This window comes from Homo sapiens, chromosome 2, assembly GCF_000001405.40.
Source record: "Homo sapiens chromosome 2, GRCh38.p14 Primary Assembly".
Classification (NCBI taxonomy): Eukaryota; Metazoa; Chordata; class Mammalia; order Primates; family Hominidae; genus Homo; species Homo sapiens.
The window spans coordinates 98,218,958-98,242,020 of NC_000002.12; the positions used below are offsets into that span (position 1 = coordinate 98,218,958).

Consider the following 23,063-nt stretch of genomic DNA (forward strand, 5'->3'; position numbering starts at 1 on the left):
CAACCAAACACTCTGCTTCCACCTAGGAAATCTTAAATGCAAGGCCTGAAAGGATCAAACTGTTTCCAACTAACTTAACTGCATCCCAGAACAAACCCCAAGAATAATTACAAGAAAACAAAAATATTCACCACTTAACAAAGTAAACTCAGCAATGCCTAGCACACAACCGAATATTACTAGGCATGCGAAAAAGTAGGAAAATACAGACCCATAATGAGGAGGAAAAACAAACTGAAGACTTAAAATGTACCCAGAACTCAATGTTACTATTAGAGCATTAAAACTGTTCTTGTAACTGTGGGGGAGACATGAAAGGTACAAGTAAGACACAAATTAAACTAGCAATGAAAAATATATAGAATGGGATGAACAGCAGATCAGACATTGCGTAACACAAAACTAGTGAATTGGAAGGCAGCAATAGAAACTATCCAAAATGTAACACAGAAGAAAGAGAATTCAAATAAAAAAAACAAAAACAAAAACAAAGAAACAAACCAAAACAAAAAACAGAGCATCAATGAGTCGTGGAAAAATCCGATCAGTCTAATAAACACATAACTGAAGCAACAGTGGCCAAAAATTTTCCAAATTGGATTATGGCTATAAACACACAGATCCAAAAGAACCTCAATGAATCCCAAGCACGAGAAACATGAAGAAAACCAGACTAAGGCAGAATCAAACTTTCCAGAAGCAATGACAAAGAGAACATCTTAAAATAATAGAAAGAAGACACATTGTGCACAGAGGAACAGTAGTAAAGATGACAGCAGATGTCTCATCAGAAATAATGCAAGTGAGGAGACAGTGGAGAAACATGTTTAAAATACTGAGAGACTGTCCACATAGAGCCTATGCGGACTGAAAATATCTTTCAAAGCAGGATATAAAATAGACTTTTTAAGATATATAAAAACGGTCAGGTGCAGTGGCTCACACCTGTAATCCTAGCACTTTGGGAGGTTGAGGTGGGCAGATTGCTTGAGCTCAGGAATTCAAGACCAGCCTGAGCGACACGGCAAGACCCCACCTCTACAAAAAATATAAAAAGTAGCTGGGCATGGTGGTTTGCACCTGTAGTTCTAGCTACTTTGGGGGGCTAAAGCGGGAGGATCACTTGAACCCGGGAGGCAGAGGCTGCAGTGAGCCGAGATCACACCACTGTACTCCAGCCTGGGTGACAGAGTGAGAACCTGTCTCATAAAAAAAAAAAAAAAAAAAAAAGATACGAAAAAACTAAAAGAATTCATCACCAACAAGCCTGCGGTACCAGAAACATTAAAGGGGAGTACTTTAGACAGAAGGAAAACCTTACCAGATAGAAATATGAGTCTATGCTAAGGAATAAAAAGCATTGGTAAAGATGATGCTAACTGCATAGGTAAATATGTAAAAAAAAATTCTTATTGCACAATTATAAGAAAAAGTGCAGGATAGACTTCCAGTTCCAGCAAAGATAGAGTAGTGCCATCCCTTGTAGGTCCACCATCTCAAAACCAGAAAGCCCTGGTTATATCTCCAAAAGAGGACAAAGGACTCATTGTCCCATCATTCTTCAACCATTGTGGAAGACAGTGTGGCGATTCCTCAAGAATCTAGAACCAGAAATACCATTTGACCCAGCAATCCCATTACTCGGTATATACCCAAAGGAATTTAAATCATTCTACTATAAAGACACATGCACACATATGTTTATTGCGGCACAATAAACAATATGCAAACAATTCACAATAGCAAAGACATGGAACCAACCCAAATGCCCATCAATGATAGACTGGATAAAGAAAATGTGGTACATATACACCATGGAATACTATGCAGCCATAAAAAGGAATGAGATCGTGTCCTTTTCAGGGACATGGATGAAGCTGGAAGCCATCATCCTCAGCAAACTAATACAGGAACAGAAAACCACACACCGCATGTTCTCACTTATAAGTGGGAGCCGAACAATGAGAACACATGGACACAGGGAGGGGAACATCACACACCTGGGGCCTGTCGGGGGCGGGGCAGAGGGAGGGAGAGCATCAGGACAAATAGCTAATGCATGTGGGGCTTAATACCTAGGTGACAGGTTGATAGGTGCTGCAAACCACTGTGGCATATGTTTACCTATGTAACAAACCTGCGTGTTCTGCACATATATCCTGGAACTTAAAGTAAAAAAAAAAAAATGACACTCATTGTCGTGTCATTCTCCAAGTTCTGAGGTCCCTTGGCAATGAGTCCTTGGGACTTTATTTCTATTCGTATATCCCAGACAGGGCACTGCAGAAGCCTCTCCAACCTGGGATCTCCAACAAGCACTGACAAAGAAAGCTCCACGAAAAGCCTGTTCCCCACCACCCCTGCCCGAGCCAAATGACTGGGAAGAGCACGGCTTAATAACAGAAAACCTTTTTGGCAATATCTGTCCTGCTCCAGTCATATACCATGGAAAAAACTGCATCCCCTCCCCTGGGATTTCAGTGGTGCCAAACAGGGAGTTAATCTTTCACCCACTCTCTTGCTTCATGGAAGCAAGTGACTGTGCTCTGATCCCCCTGCCGAGTGGAATAGTAGAGCTGACCAGGGAGCTAAACTTCCATCCCTACGTGGTGGAAGCAGGCAGCAATGCTCTGATTTATTTCCCTGCTGAGGCTGTGTCAGTGAGGCTTAGTGGAAAGCTCATTCTCCTTCTGGAAGCAGGTGGTGCTTACATTCTCCTACTAGAGTAATATCAGAGGGACTGAGTGGGAAGCTGATCTCTCATCCCTGAGTGGGCAGGAGCAGCAGTGCTCTGAGTCCCTCACCAGGGTAGCGTCCATGGTGCCCAGTGTCGAGCCAACCCTCCACTCCTCTCAGGCAGCACCACAACCTAACCAGGCAGTGTGAGGCCAGTCTAGTCACTGTTGTGCTTCACCAGAGTCCTCATGTCAGCAGGACTCAGCACGAAGCTGAGCCTCTACAAAGACCCATTATCAATGAAAGTGAAAAAAGAAGCAAGCTGGGGAAAGGCCACGCTCTGCTTTCCCCCATCCGTGGTGTTAGTAATGGGAAGCCTCACCTCCACACTCACACAACAGCATGAGACCAAAGGAGAAAGTGTGAAACAGGACTAGCCCCCACGGTGGTCCTCCCCATAATGTCAGCAGGGCCCAGTGGAGGACTGAGGCTCCACTTCCGTTCAGCATCGACGAGACTGAAGGAGGTAGTGCTAGGTGGGCTACTCATACCCTATCAACTTCCTACCCTTAAGAGAAAACTGTCCCACAAAAGAAAACTGTCCCACAGAAAGACAGTTGAACTCTTAATCCCACCACTCTGACAGCTCACCTTGACAAAAATAGCTGGGAGAGCTCACCAGATACATAGTTATGCCCAAGTGAAAGTGAAATTGATCTGTAACAGTCCCCACACATATAAGAAGTACACCAGAGGAGGATGTTTACTTGGATAGGTGGGCAGAGCTTGCTAAAGGGACACAGCTGCCAGTGGCCCATCTGGGAAGCCTCGTTGTCTCTGCAGGCCTGAGACTCTCCTCTCCTTCAGAGACACATCAGAGTGCGTTGGAAGAACAGGCAGGAGAGGCCCAGCTAGAACTAGTGGCCCCTTGCAGAAGATTCTTTGTCCCTGTGGGCCAAGGGCTCTCCTACCCTACCCAGTGACACAGGAACACCTGGAGGACAGCAGGGGAGGTACCAAGAGACACCTGGAAGCCTGACGGAGGGAAACGCCTCCTGTCTCTTCAGGCAGCACCAGCAAGGACCAGTGGGGTCCAGAATGGCACCAGATTCGCAAAGAAGACCAAGATAATACCAAAAGCTTCTGAACATCAAACTGCCGTTGGAGCAAAGACCCACAGAAGTAGGACAAATCTCACATGCTAAATTTAAGCAGGGCAACTACCAAGTAAAATAAAAGATTTTAAATAGGACCCAGAATCTTCTCACACAATAGGAAATACCTAGGATCCAGTAAAAAAAGTGCCCATCACACAAAGAGCCAAGAAAGCCCCAATTTGAATGAGAAATGACAAACAAATGATGCCAACACTGAGATGAATCATATGTTGGAATGACCTGCAAGGATTTTAAAGAAGCTGTCATAAAAATGCTTCAACAATCTATTACAAATCCTCTTGAAACAAATGAACAAATAGGCAATCTCAGAATATAAGTAGGAATTATAAAAAAAATTCCAAGTGGAACTTTGAGAACTGAAAAATACAAGAGCAGAAATTTTTAAAACCTCAGTAGATAGGTTCAATAGTGAAGTGGAGATGACAGGATAATGTCAGTGAACTTAAGGTCAGAACAACAAAATTCAGTCACTCTAAACAACAGAGAGAAAATAGACCAAAAAAAAAAAAAAAGGTAGAGCCACGAGGACCTGTGAGACAATGACAAAATATCCAGCATTAGTATCATCGGAGTCCACCAAAGAGACAAGAAGGAAAAATGGGACTGAAAAAAAAGTGACAAAATAATAGCTGAAAACTTCCCAAAGTTGGTGAAATATACAAATATACAGATTCAAGAATCTGAGTAAACTCCAAACAGGATAAGCCCAAAGAAATCCAGGCCAAGACATGTCATAGTTAAACGTTTGAAAATTAAAGACAAAGAAAAAAATGAGAAAAATGACACCAATTCAATTGCAGATTTGACAGCAGACTTCCTGTTCAAGACCAAAGAAGCCAGGGGGAAAATGGCACGATAGTTTTCAAGTATGAAAGGAAAGAACCATTAACCATGAATTTTATTATTTTACTTTTATTTTATTTTATTTTAGTTTTAGAGACAAGGGTTTTACTCCATCACCCAGGCTGGAGTGCAGTGACACAATCTTGGCTCACTGAAGCCTTAAACTGTTGGGCTCCTGTGATTCTCCTGCCTCAGCCTTCCAAGTAGCTAGGACTACAGGCGTGTGCCACCATGCGTGGCTAATTTTTTTATTTGTAGAGATAGGGTCACACTATGTCGCCCAGGCTGGTCTTGAACTCCTGGCCTCAAGCAGTCCTCCTGCCTCAGCCTCTCAAAGTGCTGAGATTACAGGTATTAGCAACCCCAAACTTTATATTTCACAAAACTATCCTTCAAGGATGAAGGGGAAATAAAAATATTCTCAGATAAATAAAAACTAAAAGAACTTATTGTTAGAAAACTTATTTTCATTGATTGTTTACAGGAGGGTTTTCAAGCTAAAGGAAATTATAAAAGAAATAATTGGAGCATCAGAAAGAAAAGAAGAGATTATAAAAGAAATAATTGGAGCATCAGAAAGAAATTATAAAAGAAATAATTGGAGCACCAGAAAGAAAAGAAGAAAGAGCAGAAATATGGGGAGATATAATAGATCTATCCTTTTCTTCATGAGATTTACAAATCATATTTTTAATGATTGAAACAAAAGTTGTAACATCACCTAACACTGAAGACAATAATATTTAAAGCTGGAGAAGGTAAAGGGACCTGAATGGAAGTGATGTTTACATATTTTCATTGAAGGAGTAAAATGTTGATGCTGGGACTGTTATAAGTCACATATATATGCTGTCATACTGACAAGATTCATTACAAAAGCAATACAAAGGGCTACGTTCAAAAACTCTGTAAATAAATCAAAATAGAATTGTAAGAAAAAAAAAGTTTAAATAACCTGAAGGAAGGCAAGGAAAGACAAACAGAGGAATGAGAAAACAAACCATAAAATACTGGAAGTAAGTGCTAACATGTCAATAATACTTTTTAAATTAATGGTCTAATCACACCAATCAAAAGACAGATACTGGCAGTGTGAATTAAAAAAAAAAAAAGAACACAACCAAACTATGTGCTGCTTTTGAGAATCTCACTTTAATTCTACATAGGTAGGTTCAACTAAAAGGATTTTTTGAAATACATCATGCAAAAATCCTCAACAAAATATTAGTAAAATGAATCCAGCAATGTATTAAAAATTATACACTATGATCAAGGGGGACTTACTCCATATATACAAGAATATTTGTTCTTTTTTTTTACCCAGGCTGGAGCGCAGTGGTGCAATCTTGGCTCACTGCAATCTCCACCTCTATGGTTCAAGCAATTCTTCTGCCTCAGCCTCCCAAGTAGCTGGGATTATGTAGGCACTGGCCACCATGCCCAGCTAATTTGTATTTTTAATAGAGACGGGGTTTCCCCATGTTGGCCAGGCTGATCTCGAACTCCTGACTTCATGTGATCCACCTGCCTTGGCTTCCCAATGTGCTGGGGTTACAGGCATGAGCCGCCCCACCTGGCTACTTGTTTTTGTATATTGGAAATATTTGTTCATTTGTTTCAAGAAATTTGTAATTGATTGTTTCAACATTAGAAAATCTATTAGTATAATCCAGCATATCAACAGGCTAAAGAAGAAAAATCATATGGTTTTATCAATTGATGCAGAAAAAGCCTTGACCAAATTCCACACCATTCATAATAAAAACTCTCAGCAAAATAGAAATAGAAGAGAACTTCCTCAACTTAATAAGAACATCAATACCTACAGCTAAAGTCATACTTAGTAGTGAAAGGCTGAATGATTTCCCCTTAAGATTAGAAGAGTCAAAGACATCTATTCTCACCGCTGTGATTCAACATACTACTGGAAGTTCTAACCATGGGAACAAGGCAAGAAAAGAAATAAAAGGCATACAGATTGAGAAGGAAGAAATAAAACTTTTTATGTGCAGGTAATGTATTATCTACATAGAAAACCCCAGGAGATCTACAAAAAAAAAAAAAACTGGAACTTTTACGAGATTTCAGCAAAGTCACAAAATTAATACACACACTTCAATCATATTTTGATAAAGTAACAGTGAGCATGTGGAAGTGAAAATTAAATACCCAATACCACTTACAATTGAGTTTCAAATAAGATGAAATATTTATGCACCTAAAAAAGTATGTACAGCAGTTTTATGTTGAAAATTACAAAATGCTGAAGATATCAAAGAAGATCTAAATAAATGGAAAGATATGTCCTGTTCACGGATTGAACGACTTAACATATTAGAGACGTCAGTTCTCCCCAGCTTGATCTATAGGTTTATCAAAATTTCTATAAAAACCCCAGAAAAGTTTTTTACAGACATAGTTAAGCCTATCTGAAATTTATATGACAAGTCACAGGCTCTAAAAATGTTTAAACAATCTTGAAAAAGAAAAATAAAATGGGAAGAATCATTATACCTAGTATTAAGGCTTACTATGTAGCTGCATTCATCAAGATGTATTTGCTCTGGTGGAGAAACAGACACGTAGACCAATGGAACAGTTATAGAAATACACCCACACAACATGCTCGACTGATTTTTGACAAAGATGCAAAAGCAATCCAGCGGAGGAAGGATAGCCATCTCAATAAATGGTTGGAGCAATTGGATATCCAAAGGCAAAATAATAAACCCCAACCTAAACCTCATACCTCATGGACATCTTAACTCAAAATGGAGTGTGGACTTAAATCTAAAACATAAAACTGTAAAACTTCTAGAAAGAAATGTGGGAAAAATTATGGGGATGTTGGGCTACCAAAGGATTTTTAGTCTTGATTCCAAAAGCATTATCCATAAAAGGAAGGATTAATAGATTGGACCTCATCAAAATTAAAAGCTTTCACTCTGTGGGAGACCCTGTTAAGAACATAAAAAGATGAGCTGCAGACTTAGAGAAAGTATCTGCAAATGACATGTCAGACAAAGGTCTTAGTATCTAGAATATATGAAGAACTCTTAAAACTTAACAGTAGAAAACAAACCATCTAATCAGAAAATAGGCAAAATGTATGCACAGACATTTCACTGAAGAGAATCTACAGATGGCAAAGAAGCACATGAAAAGAGGGTCAACATCGTAAAATTCAACATCCCTTCAGGTTAAAAACTCTCCATAAACTAGGTACTGATGGAACATATCTTAAAATAATAAGAGCCATTTATGACAAACCCATAGCCAATATCATACTGAATGGGCAAAAGCCAGAAGCATTCCCTTTGAAAACCAGCACAAGATAAGGATGCCCTCTCTCACCACTCCTATTCAACATAGTATTGGATTTCTGGCCAGGGCAATCGGGCAAGAGAAAGAAATAAAGGGTGTTCAAATAGGAAGAGAAGAAGTCAAATTGTCTCTGTTTGCAGATGACATCATTGTATATTTAGAAAACCCCATCGTCTCAGCCCAAAAACTCCTTCAGCTGATAAGCAACTTTAGCAAAGTCTCAGAATATAAATTCAATGTGCAAAAATCACAAGCATTCCTGTACTCCAACAACAGACAAGCAGAGAGCCAAATCATGAATGAACTCCCATTCACAATTGCTATAAAGAGAATAAAATGCCTAGGAATACAGCTTACAAGGGACGTGAAGGACCTTAACATCACAAACCACATGGTCCAATCATTCTACTCCTAGATATTTATTCAGGAGGAATGAAAGCCGACGTCCATGCAAAGACTTGTATGCAAATGTGTGTAGCTTTATTTATAACAGCCCAAACCTGAAAACAACATCAACAGGTGAATGGATAAATAAATTGTGGTATTTAATAAATAGTATACAATAGAATACAGCTCAGCAATAAGAAATGAATGAAGTATTGATTCATGCTACAACATGGGTGAATCTTAAAATAATTATATAAATGAAGAAAGTCAGGAAAAAAGAGTAATTTCTGTGTGATTCCATTTGTATAAAATTCTAGAAAACTGAAACTAATGTGTAGTGACAGAAAGCCAATGAGTAGTTCCTGGAGAATTGAGGGAGAGGGCTTGTAGGAGGGTGTGCAGATTTACAATGGGGCACAAGGAAATTTGGAGGGTGACGAATATGTTCATTATTTTGACTGTAAGAATGATTTTGCAGGTGGGAATGTCAAACTTTTCAAATGGTGCATTTTACAGATGTTCAGCTTGTTGTATGTGAATTACACATCAATAAAGCTGGCTAAAAATGGGATAATATAAGAACAACATAAAATTCTTTAGATTCTTCTTTTCCTGATACAGTTGGCTTTCTGTTAGAAATGTTTGACATTTTCTGGCCGTGTGCTGTAGTCCCAGGTACTTGGGAGGCCAAGATGAGAGGATCACTTGAGCCCAGGAGCTCAAGACCAGCGTGGGCAACATAGTGAACCTCTTGTCTCTAAAAAGAAAAGAAACATGTTTGGAATTTGAGCTCTTTTTATCTAGTCTTATAGCATATTCACTTCTCATTTTGGCAGAATGAAGATCTGACTCTTTTAGTTAAGGAAATGGAACAGGGTCACAGTGATCTGGAGAAGATGCAAGACCTTTATTCTGAGTCCTTGATCATGGACTGGTGGTACAATGCAGAAAAGGATGGAGACAGCAAGTGAGCACCTCTGCCCGCCTGTCTCCCTGCGCTGAGGCCTCTTGAGAGCTGGGCTTGCCCCCTGGGCCCTTGTCCTTTCTGAAATGCTCTGTGAAATTTCTTTTAGTGAAAAGAATCACGTAGTGTGATTAAGTTAGGATTTTTTTAAGCAAAGAGAATTAACAATTTAATAACAATTTAATTTAATTGTGGGCTTGAGGAGGCCACATATTCCCCTTTATGTTCTCCACGCTGTGTGGACGGGCCCCCAGACCCAAGCAATGAGAGGGCGGAGAGGAGCACTGTGTGGGGAAGGAGCTCTGACTCAGGGATCAGGAGGCCGAGGCCTGGACTTCCCTCTATGTGACTGTGGCGAGGCCCGAACTTCTCTCCACGCCTCTCCATTGCGTGGGTCTCTGTTTCCTCATCTTTAAAATGGTGGCCGTGGTGGTGGGTTTGGGACAGATGACTTCTCCTGTCTGCCCCCATCCTATATTCTTATATGTTTCTAATTTGTGGTTTTTAAACAAAATCAAAACCACCGCCAAACACTCAGGAAATTGGTCAAATCTTATTAAAATGATTTAATATTTTCCAGATATTCAAGTATCACAGCCTACCCTGCCAGGAGATGTCTTTTTTATTTCAAAGAATGATAGAAAATTGGGGGAAAAAAAGAAAATACATTTATTAATGAGAATTTATTGTTCAACAAAATGCACTGTCTTCCTGTTAGCAAATTAAGCATTTGTATGGGCTTAAGGTAGGGCATGACTGTGGAATCAGTAAAAAGAGGTAAATGTTATAATGGCCATCTTACAATAAGATTTTATGGCATTATTTTTTAAGTATTTGGGAAAGCACAGATACAGCTTCTAAATTTCAAAAATTTGAACAAATAAACTAAGAATCAAGTAAATGAGAAGCCATTTATTGAGTACAAACCATGCAGTAAGAGAATCGGGGTGCACAGATGAATGTCAGTCTGGTTCCTTCTGCTGTGGGGGGCACAGTGCGGGCACAGACCCACAGAGGGCCATGGAACCCGGGGCAGGTGCTCCACGGAGGCGTCGAGGGGCAGTGGTGCAGGAGGGAGGGCACACGTCACAGTGTTGGAGCAGAAATTGCTCTGGAAGTTTTCCTTTGTATGGCTGCTGTCTTCAGCGCTTCAGAGAAGGTCATATCTGGGAAAACATGCAAGCGTTTCTGGGATCGCTCCATTCTCCAGAATGGTTCCCTGGGATCTGGTGCTGGCATGGGAGGTCCAAGGCAGGAGTTCCTTTCTCTAGCTTTTATAAGTGCTTGCTGGTAGACACTGATTAGAGAATGGGTTTCTGCAGTGCTTACTTGTTTATAACCGGCTTTCACTCCTACGAATCCTCCCATCAGCCCCATGTAGTCACTATATAGGTGTGCAGGTGACGTTTCCTGCAGTTGATGGATGAGGAAAGTGAAGAAGTTTAGAGAGGATTGAGTGACTTGACTGAGGTCACAGAGCCAGGAGGGACCAGACCTGTGAAGTGAGCTGTATCTTCTGACTCCAAGGCTGGGCCCCTCTCCACTCTTCTGCATCAGTCAGGGATAAATGACTATTTTTATATTAACCCAGATGGGGGAAGGCTTACTTTTTAAAGTTTGCAGTGTTCAACATGAATGTATTGACTTAACTCTGCCTTCTTGATGGAAATTTTCTTTTCTCTCTCTTTTTTTGCTCGACTTTTTATCTAAATCAAAACAGGCATCAAAAGGAAATCTGTTCTATGATTTCAACCCCAGAAAAGTGTGCAAAGCCTCAATCTGATGTCGATTCAACACAAACTTCATCTCTGAATATGTTGAAGGGACCATGGGGCCTTTCAGATCAAAAGGTTCAGAAAAAGAAAGTCCTTCACGCAGGTATCAGTGAACAAAATGGCTTGACTCTTTGCTGGTTTCTCTTCAAGGCAAGAAGATAGAATAAAACTAAACCCACATAATATTTTTAAGAAGCACTAAACTTGTGGGTTTTTTAAATTAAAATTTTTATTAAAATAATTGTACATTCACATGATCTTATATATACCTACGCTTCATCCTGTTTCCCCAATGGTAACATCTTGCAAAATAATAGTCCAATATTAAAACCAGGATATTGATATTGATGCAATCCACAGGTCTTATTCAAATCGTCCAGTTTTACTTGTACCCGTGTGAGTGTGTGTGTGTATGTGTGTGTGTGTGTCTGACAGTGTGTGTTTAGGTCTACACGGTTTGATCACGTGTATAGGTTTGTGTTTCCACCACTACAGTCAAGATACAGAAGAGTCCCATCACCTAGGGAATCCTTCATGCTGCCCTTTTATAACCACACCCACCTCCCTTGCACACCCTTCCTACAGCTAAAATCAAACTAAAAGGTGAAAGACTGAATTATTTCCCCCTAAAATTGGGGGAAAGGATGCCTACTCTTACCACCCTTATTCAGCATAGCACGGGAAGTTCTAGCCACTGTAACAAGGCAAGAAGAAAAAATAAAGCCAGAAAGATTGGAAAGGAAGAAATAAAACTGTCCCTATTTGCAGATATTGTATTGTCTATGTAGAAAACAGCAAGGGATGTACCAAAAATACAAGTCCTAGAGCTACTGAGTTCAGCAAGGTCTCTGGCTACGGGACGCACAAAACCAATTGCATTTTGATATACTAACAGTGAACATACAGCAACCTATATTAAAGTCATTCATAATTGCTCCAAATAAAATAAAATAATTAGGTGAACATGTAACGAAGTATGTGCAGAATCTGTTTGCTGAAAATTATAAAATTCTGCTGTAAGACACTAAAGAAGATCTAAATAAATTGAGACACCATGTTCATAGGTTGAATGAATTGGTGTGATAGATGACAATTCTCAGCTCATTTATCTATAGGTTTAATGAAATTCCTAATAGAATCCCAAAAATGTTTTTATAAACATATACAAGCATATTCTAAAATATATGCAGAAACATCAGGTTCTACAATAGCTAAAATAATTTTGAAAAAGAGACTAAAGTTGGAGAAATCACTGTACTGGACATTAAGGCTTACCACATAACCACATTAATCAAGACGGTGTGGTATTAGCAGAGGGATAGGTGGAATAGGACCTAGATTTAATCCACACAAATATACCCAAATGATTTGACAAAGGTGCAAAATTAACTCAATGGAGGGAGTATAGCCCTTTCAACAAAGATGCTGAAGCAATATCTACAGTCAAAAAAGGAAAAGAAACTTGACCTTAACCTCACATGTACCGTGGATTTAAATGTAAAACAGAAAACTATAACACTTCTAGAAAAAAATTAAAGAAAACCTCTATCCAGTTAAGGAAGTTCCACACATTTCTAGCTTTCTGAGAGTTTTTATCATGAATGGATGCTGGATTTTATCAAATGCTTTTTCTGTGTCAACTGATATAGGCTTTTTCTTCTTTAGTCTATTGAAATGGTGGATGACATCAATTGATTTTCAAATGTGGAAGCAGCCTTGTATATCTTGGAATATTTCCCACTTAGTCTCAGTGTATAATTATTTTAATACATTGCTGGATTCCGTTTGCTAGTATTTTGTTGAGGATTTTGGTATCAAAGTTCATGAAAGCTATTGATCTATAGTTCTTTTAATTTTTCTTTTTTAACACTGACTTCATCCAGCTTTGGTATCAAGCTAATAGTGTCCTCACCAAGTGGGTTGGAAAATTGTCCCTCCTCTTCTATTCCTGGGAGAAATTCATGTAATTCTTCTTTGAATGTTTGGTAGAGTTATCATGGAGCCATTTCGGCCTAGGGATTTCTTTTCCAGATTTTTCATGATGAATGCAATTTCTGTAATGGTTTTAAGGATATTGTCCATTTCAGCTTGGTCGAGTTTTGGCACTTTGTGGTTTTTCAGTAATTGGTCTATTGTTTCTAATTTATCAGATTTATGAGGGCAAAGTTGTTTATTATATCCCTTTGTTAGCTTTTTAATGGCTGCAAGATCTTTAGCAATGAACTCTTGATATTAGTGCTTTGATCTGTCTTCTCTCTTTTTGCCTTTTTTCTATCTAGCTAGAGGCTTTCTTGCTTTTCTTTCTATTTGTTCATTTGTTTCCAGAGAATGTATAATTAATTGTTGAAGCACTTTTATGGGTAGCCTCTTTAAAATCCTTGTCAGATAATTCCAGCTCCTGATTCTTCTTGGTGTTGGCATCATGCATTTGCTTTTTCTGATTGAAGGTGTGATTGTTTTTCTAGTTACTGATATGATGGGTGATTTTTGATAGTATCTTGGACATTTTGTCTATTATGTTAGGAACTCTGCATCTCATTTAAGTATTTTATTTTATGAAGTAGTCACCCTGTTTAAATTTAGCATGTGGGCCTTGACCTACTTTTGTGGGCTGTGGTTCTGATGGCGATTTAATTTTCACAGGCTCTGTGGTATTGTTAATATTTTGGTGCTTGTTTTTATGGTGTTTCTGGGGCTCCTACTGGTCCCTGCTGGTGCTACCTGAGGTGGCAGCAGGGATCCCCTCAGACCAGGATGTTAGATGTCTCTGAGGGGAGAGTTGCAGCAGCTTCCCCCAGTGTTGTCTCTGAGGTGTCCCCACATTGCTGGCAGGGAGGAGGGCCTTGAACCCACAGGGACCAAGAGGCGTCCCGGAAAGGGCCGCTAACTGGAGATTGGCCCTCTTGCTCCTGCTATCTCTGTACAAGGGAGCAGCATCGTACATGGGAACAAACAGCCTTCCCACACTGGCCACTTGTGTGGCTGCATCCCTTTTTCCAGTCCTGCCTGCCTGTTCCAGTGAACCTGAGTTTTGCCAGAGTTGCTACTTGTCTTAAACATTTTAATGGCCAATTGTCACTGCCACCATTTCACTTAGATTTGGGTTGCTCGGTATTGGGAGACAATCATGTGCTGAGTTTCTATTTTGTTTCCATTGGTGATGTAGAGGAGTGGTGAAATGCCATGACTGATCCTACAGAGTCCGGGGAGGGGCTAAATGTTTGATTCCACTGCTAGATAAATGTTTCATTCCGTATTTGTGGCCTTTGGGAATGGTATAGTTTTTATGTTTGGAGACTTGGGGAGCTAAATTTCATTTTCATTTGGCTCACGTAAATCTGATTGTTTTGCCTGGTAATGTTGGTCAAGGTGGGCTGCCAGTGTGGACACTGGCAGGAGCTCAGCTCTCTGATTTGGATTGTTTATCTCTTTTTCTCACAGACATAGCTTCTAAGGAAATTTAGCTTTCTTAGTTCCTGGGTACAGAGACAATCAAGGCAGGGCTTACCCTTTTGTTGCCTAGAAAAACAATGATTACCGTATAGCACACTCCTTCTCTATGCATGGAGACCACTGGTGTTAATTTTCTGTGTGAAAGCTACCCATTTGCAGATTACTAGCTAATCTTCACTCTAACTATCTAATTTCTTGTAGGAGAGGGTAAGTCCTCTCAGTGAAAACACAGACACATTTCATTCACGAATGCTGACATAAAGCCTTGGAACTAGGTACTTCTAAAGCCTCCAAATTATGAAGTACAGACTACATTACAATTAGTGTGGTTTATGTTATCAAATATAAAAAGTAATCAAGATGACTTGGCACAGGCTCATTGTCCTCTAAAGCACACAGATTCAAGGTCAATATTTGCTAAGTTGTCATTTGCCTGTAGAAGGGACACATCACAGGGTAGAAAATAACATAAGCAAAGATCTGGACAGCAATTGTGGTGGGCAGAATTTCTAGAATGGCTTACCAAAGATGTCCTGCCCTGAACCCTGCAATCTTTGAATATGATGACACGTCACTCTCATGACCAGGTTATGCTGACCTAGACAGAGTTATCTAGGTGAGTCCAGTGTAACTGTGGGAACTGTGAAAAGCAGGGGCTATTTCCAGCTGGTGGCAGAAGAGAAAGTCAGACAGATTTGAACCACAAGAGGAATTCAATGTGCTATTACTGTCTTGAAGATGGAAGAGTCGTGTGAGAAGTAATACAGATGCCTTAAGCAGCTGAGAGAGGCCGCTGGGCTACAGTCAGCAAGGAAATGGGGCCTCAGTCCTACAATTGCAAGGAGCTGGGTTCTGCCAGCAGCCTGAATGAGTGTGGAAGCTGACTTCTCTCCAGGAGGGGTCCAGCTGAAATTCAGATAAAGGGAGCAGGGCATCCTGGCAGCATTCAGTTTGTGGCAGCACCATCCTCAGAGGGTTGGGAAACAAAGGTTGCATTCTTACTTTAAGGAGCTGATAAAATAGTTATATCTAATGAAGTATCTCCTTCCATCCCCAATTCCTTTAACTCTTCCCTCTGTGATACCAACAGAATCAACCAAAACCAGCCTGCTCAGAAGCCAGATGTCCTCCCTCAGGAGCTCAGCTTGCAGTGAAAGGAAGGATGGCCTCTCCAATGCCAGCAGCCGGAGGACTGCTCTAAGTGACAAAGGCAAGCCAGAAAGCATCTCTGTGGCCAACCAGCCTCCCTTTCCACAGTGTATCTGTTCCAGAAAGAGCTGCGTGTAGATATGTTGGGGAAATCATATTTTAAATGGGCCCAGATTGCTTCCTATTCAAAGGAATCCCTTGTAAGTCAGGTCTGCCTGCTTTATGACCTGGATTTTCTGAGAGCTGGCCTTGTGCTTATGGTGCCTGGGTGTTTAATACACACGTGGCTCACATAACTATGGTCATGCTGCTGCCCCTCCATGGTTTGATTTTGAAACTGTCATATTTCATAGTTGATTTTTTTTCTTCCCTTTCTTCAATGGATGATGCTATCAGATGAGCCCCTCTCTGGTCCAAATTGTCAGCCTTTTGGGGACTGCATATGAGGAAAATGTGATTTTCCCACTCAATTTTTATTACTATTGATAAAATTATTAATCTTAAAGTAATAAGTTTTGAAACGTTTGATGCCTGTAACATTTTTCTTTTATTTCAAATGGTTGATACATTTAAAATCCCAGTTAAACACACACATATACACACAATCCCCTAGGGAGTAGGAAGTGGCTGAGTAGCAAATGTGCCCCTGTGGCTACACAGTCATAGTTTAATTTAGAACTCTGTTTTCTTCATTGCTGATCTGTCTGATATCTTTTCCTCACTTTTTTTTTTTTTTTGAGGTAGAGTCTCACTTTGTTACCTAGGCTGGAGTGCAGTGGCGTGATCTCGGCTCACTGCAACCTCTGCCTCCACGGTTCAAGTAATTCTCCTGCCTCAGCCTCCCGAGTAGCTGGGATTACAGGCAGCCGCCAACAGGCCAAGCTAATTTTTGTATTTTTAGTAGAGACAGGGTTCCACCATATTGGTCAGGCTAGTCTCAAACTCCTGACCTCAAGTGAGCCACCCGCCTTGGCCTCCCAAAGTGCTGGGATTTTGGCCGGGCACAGTGGCTCCCTTTCAATTAACCTGCCATATTTCCTAAGTTGTCTACATGCACATTCCTTAAAGGGCTTATCAAATGATGATTGGGATATGATTTCTTAGCTAGTTAACTAGCTCACACCCAAACACGCCTCCTTCTGAATGCTGCTCATTCAACAAATATCCCTTTTCATTTATAAATACACATTTATATAAGGATATATGTAAAACCCCAAATATTAATTTGAAAATTTGAACTTACAACTAAACAGGACCTAACAGGTTTTTTGGTTTTCTACAGAAAGCTGAAGAACCACTAAACAATCTATCAGAAATTAAAATGTTGATCAAGGCTCTCATATAATTTGGGGGAGTCCAAAAGGTCAATATTGAACAATCATTGGTTAATGGTATTTTTATTGCACACTTTTTAGAGGTGTGTTTTCTGAATGAAAGAATGAATATGTCTCATTGTCTCAAAACAGTGGTAGTGCCGTATTTACCCATGCATTGGTCTGTAGTGTAAATTGCAAAGGAATCTTGCCTGAGAGCCCGCTCTGACAAATCAGGATATGTTCTCTGAAATGTGGTCCATTTATTAGCTCTCAGTCACAGCTGGACTGAGACAAGCGTGATCCCTTTGCATTTTATGTAAAACCCATATGTGAGGAAAATATACAACTGCCACTTCCCCTTCCACAGAAATGAGCATCTTGCTGGCTGAGGAGTGGCTGGATGACAAATCGTCAGAAAAGGTGACGCGAGAAGGAAGCCAGGTTTATGACCACGAGTGAGTTCTTTAATTTGACAAAGACAGTTCTGTTATGCTTCTGTTGGTTAACCATCAAGTTGTAAATTTTAAAACACCACCTCCTTGTGTTCTTAGTTCTTCAGATGTGTCTTCAGAAAACTGGCTGAAGACCTATGGCTTGGTCGCCAAGAAACTCACCCTCATGGATGCCTTGTCAGTGGCAGCAGTCCCGCACAGCTCCACCTATGTTCCCGTCCTGGACAAGCATGTCGTGTCTAAGGTCTTTGATGAGGTAAACTGATTGTCTATACGTCCCTACTTGAGGCCATTTTCATTTTCTGCTCAAATAAAAAGTAGTCCAATTTCTTGTGTGGTTGTAACAGAAATGTATTTTAGCCACTGGGGGAAAAAGTATTTGTAAAGGCAGTAAAAGGGAGAGAGAGAGGCTTTTAAGAATTTGGGCGCGGTGGCGCATGCCTGTAACCCCAGCACTTGGGAAGGCTGTGGTGGGTGGATCCCTTGAATCCAGGAGTTTGAGACCAGCCTGGGCAACATCGTGAAACCCTGTTTCTACAAAAAATACAAAAATTAGCCAGGCATGGTGGCATGCACCTGTAGCCCCAGCTACTTGAGCCACTGAGGTGGGAGAATCGCTTGAGCCTGAGACATCGAGGCTGCAGTGAGCGGTGATTGCGTCACCGCATTCCAGCCTGGGTGACAAAGCGAGATCTTGTCTCAAAAACAACGAAAATAAGAATTCTCTTTTTAAGCTGAGAGAAACTGATCTTGGTTGGGTTGGCACTTCGTGGTTCGTTGCTAACGGATAGAAGTGTGGGGCTGCAGAAATGATTGAAAACTCTAGGTCAGAGTCATGAGTGAACATCAAATATCCCTTTATGAAAGGAAAGGGAGGACTTGCGAGAGATTATGTCCTTCTTTTGCTTACCTTCTCTTCCTAAATTGAGTGGCATCTTTTGTAGCTAAAGGAAAAAGTTAAGAGAGCAAACAAGCAAGCCACATGTTAGCAAAAGAACCACCAGATTGTCCTAGGCCGGTCCCGAGAGGAGAAAAACAGCTTCCAATGGGAGGGCGTGGTAGGGTTAAATGTGGAGGAAGGCCAAGGAAGTACTGAAAACTTAACACTGAATTTGGCAACAAGGAGGTGCTCATCTTTACAAGAATAATTCCAGTGGAACGGCATTACTGCAGTGGGATGAAGAACACCAAAAACATGAGAACATGAAGACGGAACCTCAGTGCTTCCAGGCAAATACAACAGCAACTAACGATTTAAATAGAAACATTTCAGTCTTTGCAGTCACTGAATGGAAACAATATCCTTAAAAGACCTGTCTCATGCTGAAATCTTTGCAGAGGAAATGATACAATGCTTGGGGATGCTTGGGGTTTGCTTTATTGTAATTGGGGTGGTGGAGTAGTGGGCGGGGGAGAGTAGATGAAATAGATAGACCACACGTTGATCATTGTAGCATTTGGATAAGACTTAGTGAGAAGGGTCGTTTTACTCTTCTTTCTGCTTTTTTGTGTATTTGAAATTTTCCATAAAAAGAAGTTGAAAAGATCAAAGGCAGGAGAAAGTTTTTTTAAAAATGAAAAGACCTTTTCTAACTGGCCTTGAAATAGCTGAGATTTGATGTATTGGGAGAAGCAGATGAATTGGTGAATTTTATTCTATTAGCACATTTTAAAAATTATCACCCATGGAGGCTCACCTGCCTGCTGGTTTGGGATGACCAGTGACTCTCCCTCCGGAGGCTGTGTGTGTGTTCTCCTCTAGGCTGGTTCCTGGCTACTTTGCCTCAAGGTGAGTGCTCCTGTCCCTGGCTGTTTCCTTGTGATTGGCAGATTTGATTTATACCTAATTAGTCAGATGTCAACTCACCACTTGAACTTGACTTCTTCTAGAAGCAACAGGGAGAAACTGAACCCTAATTTATTTCTTGTAGGAGGTTTGGGGACAGCTCCTTCATATTCTCTGCAGTTATATTACTATTCTTGAGTTTTATTTGGGACGAAATATATTTAGTGAACTCTACTTAGAAATAGAATTTTCTTGGGCTTATTATGCCTCCTTCTAAATGTCCCAACAACTTGAGGTAGAGTGAAAAGTAAATTTCTTGAAAAAAATATGGTAGGATAGGGAAGCAGAAGCATAAAATCCAAGGAAGAAACAATAAAGGAAAGATTTATAGGCTGAGTAGGTAAAAATGTTATTTTGCTTAAAAACATGTAAATAAAATGAAGACAAATCTCAGAAAAATACCTGCAACATACATGACAGACAAAAAGGGCCATAGGAGTGATATCTTACGTGTGTGTATCAGTATAAAGCACCGTGTTTGTATGAATCAGTGTTCAGTATGCAAACACACATGCACATACATCCATACCATAAGGGAATGAGAAAATGACAAATACTGGAGTGGAAATTTTAGGGAAAAAAAGGAAAAAAGTCAAACTCATATACAAAAATATTTAACTTTACTGGTAACCAAATATATGCCTTAAAAAATGCAAATTGATAATCAATTAGACACCACCTCCCCCATCAAATTGGTAAGGTTAAAAATCACCGATAAACAGTAATGGCAATGACAGGGTGGGATGGACACTTATATCCTGCTAGTGAGAGTATAAATTGGTGCATCCTTAGTGTAAAATGTTCAGAAGCCTTAAGAACTTATATTTACCCCAGCGAATTCATATATTACTAGGAATCTATGTAAGGAAATAATTAGAGATACTGAAGTATATGTGCAGAGAATAATTACTACAGCCTTTAGCCAACAATGGAAAACAACACAAATTCATATAATGGCATGTCATACATTCATCAGATATCACATTTCTAAAGAATAAGTTTCACACGATGAAAAGTCCTCGTGCTAAATGAAATATCGTGCTAAATGAAATATCATGCTAAATGAAAAAAATCAGAATATATAGTGTGTTAGAAACTTGGTTGTTCATGTGACTGATTTAGGCATGGTGGTACTTTCCCCTTCCCTCCCTTTTTTCTTTTACCAAAATGTTAACAGTTTAGCTGGGTGGTGAGATTGTTGGGAGATGTTTTTTTTTTTTAAATTTATGTAGCTTTTAATTTTTATTGTAGTACTTTTAACTCTGAACATTATTAATTATACACTGAGAAAAATGTTAAGAAAAACAGACCTGGCCAGGTGCGGTGGCTCACACCTATAATTCCAGCACTTCAGGAGGCCGAGGCAGCGGATCATTAGGTCAGGAGATCGAGACCATCCTGGCCAACATGGTGAAACTCCGTCTGTACTAAAAATACAAAAAAATTAGCCAGGTGTGGTGGCGTGTGCCTGTAGTCGCAGCTACTCGGGAGGCTGAGGCAGGAGAATTGCTTGAATTCGGGAGGCAGAGGTTGCAGTGAGCTGAGATCACGCTACTGCACCCCAGCCTGGCAACAGAGCGAGACTTCATCTAAAAAAAAAAAAAGAAAGAAAGTGAAACAGACCTGAAAGCAAATGACAAAATGATGTAAATGTAATGGGAACTTAATTTTTAATTAACTGCTTTATTTTTATCTGATAAGTAATATATGAATAATTCTCAGTATATGAGATTTAAGCCATACTTAAGTCTTCAGAGGAGGCTTCTCTCACCACTACGCCTATCCATGAAGGAAACACGTTGAATAGTTTGGTGAATTTCCTTCCAATCCTTTTTCTACATATGCATATGTAAGTATGTGCACACATAACGTATTTATACAGAGACACATAAGAACTTTAATAAACATGAATAAGACAATACCATATACATTTACTATTTTAAAAACTATTTTAAACATTTTGTCTTAGAGCCCTTTCCATACAGGTAGATGGTCTCATGCCTATAGTTGCAAGGTTCTTCCCCATTATTAATGGATATTTACATTGTGTTCTTCCTTCCCCTCTTACAAACATTCCTGTAACAGGTATCTTTGCACGTAGATTTTTGGGCACATGTATAAGTCTGGCTTTGGAAGAAATTCCCTCAAGTCAGATGGCTGGACCCAAAGGGTATGTGCATTTTAAATTTTGATAATTCAAATCATCCCCCAAATTCACTGTACATTTTCACTAGCATGTATCCCCACAGACAGAGTAAAGTAGTACTCTCTTCCTAAGAAGAACTCTGTGTAATACTTGATAATCATTGGTCCTTGGTGTGTAGAAATGCTTTGAAAACCCTGAAAGTAGGATGCAGACATAAGATCTTTATTCAGCCTATTCTTTCCTCATTGGTTCATATGCTGAAGAAGCAAACTTAATATTCAGTCCAACAGTTAGAAATTTTTTTCTCTGAGATGTATGTGATATATCCATACTCTGTGAATAATAATATGCCTACTCTGAGGTTGTTATGGAATTAAAAGAAGTAATGCATACAGTGTAAAGTACTTAGCAGGCACTTAAAATGTTGACTTTTATTATAAAAATATTCAACAAATTTATGCCTATTGTATATGCCTGTGTTGGGCTCTAGAATACAGTGCCAAACAGGAAAGCCAACATTCCTACCCAAGCACAACCGACAGTCTCAGGAGGAAGTAGCAATGAAAATGAGAGAAGTTCTAGTTAAATGTGACGAGTGGGAAGTGCTGAGTGAAGATGCAGGAGATGTCCCTCACCTGGCTTCAGTGGCCACAGAAGGCTTGCCTTAGCTAGTGGCATCGGAGTTCAGACCCAGGGGAAGAGAAGGAGTTATGAAGGTGGAGAGATGGGAAGAGAGCCCCAGGCAGTGGGGGAGCTTGGGGAATCCTAAGGAACAGAGAATGTTTGTCATTCCAGAGAAGTTTAGTGTGAGTGGAGAAGGTGATAAAGCTGGTGAAGGAAGGGCCTTGATTGAATTAAGGATTTTGAACTTCATCCTGAGGGGAATGGAGGGGTTGTTAGCAGAGGAGAAATTAATTTGGGGTTTGAGCTGGCACACAGAGAATAGTTGGAGAGGCGGGCAGTCAGGAGGCAGTTGGGGAGATGGGGGCAGTCAGGAGGCAGGGCTGGGTGGCTGGAACCAGTAGGCTGTGTGGCTGAAACACTGCGGATGTACCCAAAGCTCTTTATAAAGTCAAGTCAACGATGTGGGGCTGAGAGAGAGAAAAATGCCAAGAGTGATTCTCCAGACTCCAGCCTGGAATATCAAGCAGGGGAAAAATAAAGAATGAGTAGTGAGGGTCTTGTTCTTCAGGGGGGCATCCTAGTCGTCTGCCTCTAGAACACAAAGCCCAGGGGAGGGGATGAACAGTTCTCAAGCACATCCCATGGGCACTTGTGCTTGGTGCCTTCTGTGGCATTGTGAGTTCTCAAGACAGCCTGCACGTAGGTAGGCACTGCACAGCACACTTGCCCTCCCTTATTCATAGTAAGAATCACTCTGATGACAGGCATATACTGCAGTGATCTCCAGTCTCACATCCAAAGCACTTTTGTATCTTTGATTCCCTAATATTTTCTCTGACTGGAAGACACCCTCAGCTATAAATGGAAAGAATAACAAAATAATAATCTCAAATATCTCCCACCTCATGGGATGTATACCTTTTTGATGTT

General features: G+C 40.2%; 1 protein-coding gene across 19 annotated transcripts in view; it reads left to right on the forward strand.

Annotated features, from left to right (window-relative positions):
* The window catches only part of VWA3B (von Willebrand factor A domain containing 3B), a 243,450-nt gene that overhangs the window by 131,791 nt on the left and 88,596 nt on the right, over positions 1-23,063 (forward strand). For 16 of the 19 annotated variants that reach the window (XR_922885.4, NR_144296.2, XR_922884.2 and 13 more), the window contains 5 exons: positions 9,245-9,375; positions 11,093-11,250; positions 15,691-15,810; positions 17,433-17,520; positions 17,617-17,773. Coding sequence is in view for 14 of the 19 variants with exons in the window: in NM_144992.5 (NP_659429.4) it covers positions 9,245-9,375; positions 11,093-11,250; positions 15,691-15,810; positions 17,433-17,520; positions 17,617-17,773 (654 nt within the window). In the remaining 5 variants the exon portion in view is untranslated. Of the gene's footprint in view, positions 1-9,244; positions 9,376-11,092; positions 11,251-15,690; positions 15,811-17,432; positions 17,521-17,616; positions 17,848-21,448; positions 21,500-23,063 lie in introns of those variants that run through there. The other 3 variants (NR_144297.2, NR_144298.2, XM_011510774.1) reach the window with 2 other exon arrangements.